This window comes from Homo sapiens, chromosome 4 (assembly GCF_000001405.40).
Source record: "Homo sapiens chromosome 4, GRCh38.p14 Primary Assembly".
Classification (NCBI taxonomy): domain Eukaryota; kingdom Metazoa; phylum Chordata; class Mammalia; order Primates; family Hominidae; genus Homo; species Homo sapiens.
The window spans coordinates 113,890,027-113,891,544 of NC_000004.12; positions in this window are offsets into that span (position 1 = coordinate 113,890,027).

Sequence of the window (1,518 nt, forward strand, 5' to 3'; positions counted from 1 at the left end):
GTAACTGCCACCATGATTCAATTACCTCCCACCCGATCCCTTCCGTGACACATGGGGATTATGGGAACTACAATTCAAGATGAGATTTGGGTGGAGACACAGCCAAACCATATAAAAAACGGAAAAAGCTCAAATTAAAAAGTGGTTGGGGCTTCCAAGGTGGCTGAATAGGAACAGCTCCAGTCTGCAGCTCCCAGCGAGATCGACATAGAAGACGGGTGATTTCTGCGTTTCCAACTGGAAACAGTGGGAGCTCATTTTTTTCTGGTTGCTTGTGTAAGGCGGCTTTTGACTCAAGGTCTCACAGCAGTCTATGCTCTGGATGCTTCTCTAGTTTATTAGCATGTGGAGACGGGATATCTTCCAGGCATACAATGATTCTACTTCTATTAGGTTTCTTTCAGTATGAGGAAACACATTGTCTTCAGAGGACACCGCATTCCACCGAAAGCTGCACTTTCTCTGGAAAGTTCTTTCTGAGCTGAAATTTGACTCCCAGTAACTTTAATTAGTCACCTATAGCAGTTTTAAAAACATTTTAATCTACTCATGAGCTTTAATGACTTTAAGCTAATGCCTCTTATACAGTAATGTGTTTAACATGATATGTTTAAATATGTCTGTTAGCAATTGTACTTTTATTAACTATGGTAAATAAGAATAATATATTTCTATTATTAGCAATAATAGTCTATCATAATTTGCACTTAGGTACTTATCATTTTATATTTTTATAAACACTTAGGTACAGCAACTTCCCTGGCTTTGAGTCTCTCCAGGCTGGAGAATAAGTGTGAGGTATTGAGAGGAGAGAAGTAAGGTTGAACTCATCATTTGATTGATTTCAGGCTTTTTATTCTTTGTTGCTCTGTTAACCACCTACAGCCAAAGGATGAGGTTAGTCTCAGGTGGGACTCAGATGGGATGCATCAAGCTCGAGGGGATCAGTGACATTTATTTTTAAACATTATGATTTGTGAAAAATCAATTTTGCCTTTTGCTGCCTTGTTTTGATTTAGTCCAACTCTCTCTTTTTGTAGAAAACTAAGCCTCTGTACAAATGGCTGGTCTAAGAGCACCACAGCTTTCCTGCAAAGCTGTCATTTTTCTCATCTTAAAAAAACCCTGAAAAACCTGGTCTGACTAATAAAACACTGGTGTTTTGTTATTGTTGTTTTTCTCTGTAGAGGATACACACCAGCAACATGAAGCCTCTAGCTTCCTATTTTGGTTTCTCTTATATATCAAGATTGCCTGTTTGATCTGGAGAAAGGGAGCAAAATAAATGAAATGAAGTTATTGATGTTTTTATGTAATTGGCATTTTCTCTCTTTTCACACACAATTATATGGAGTTCATTCTGTAATACTGGCTTAATCCCTGCTACTAGAGAATTTCAAAGACAACTCATGCTGTGAAAGTGAGGTGAGAGCTAGGTGAATGACTAAAATAGGACAAATTTGACTCTATTGCTATTATTTATAAGAGCTATAGTAGAATCGTATCTTGAAGGATACT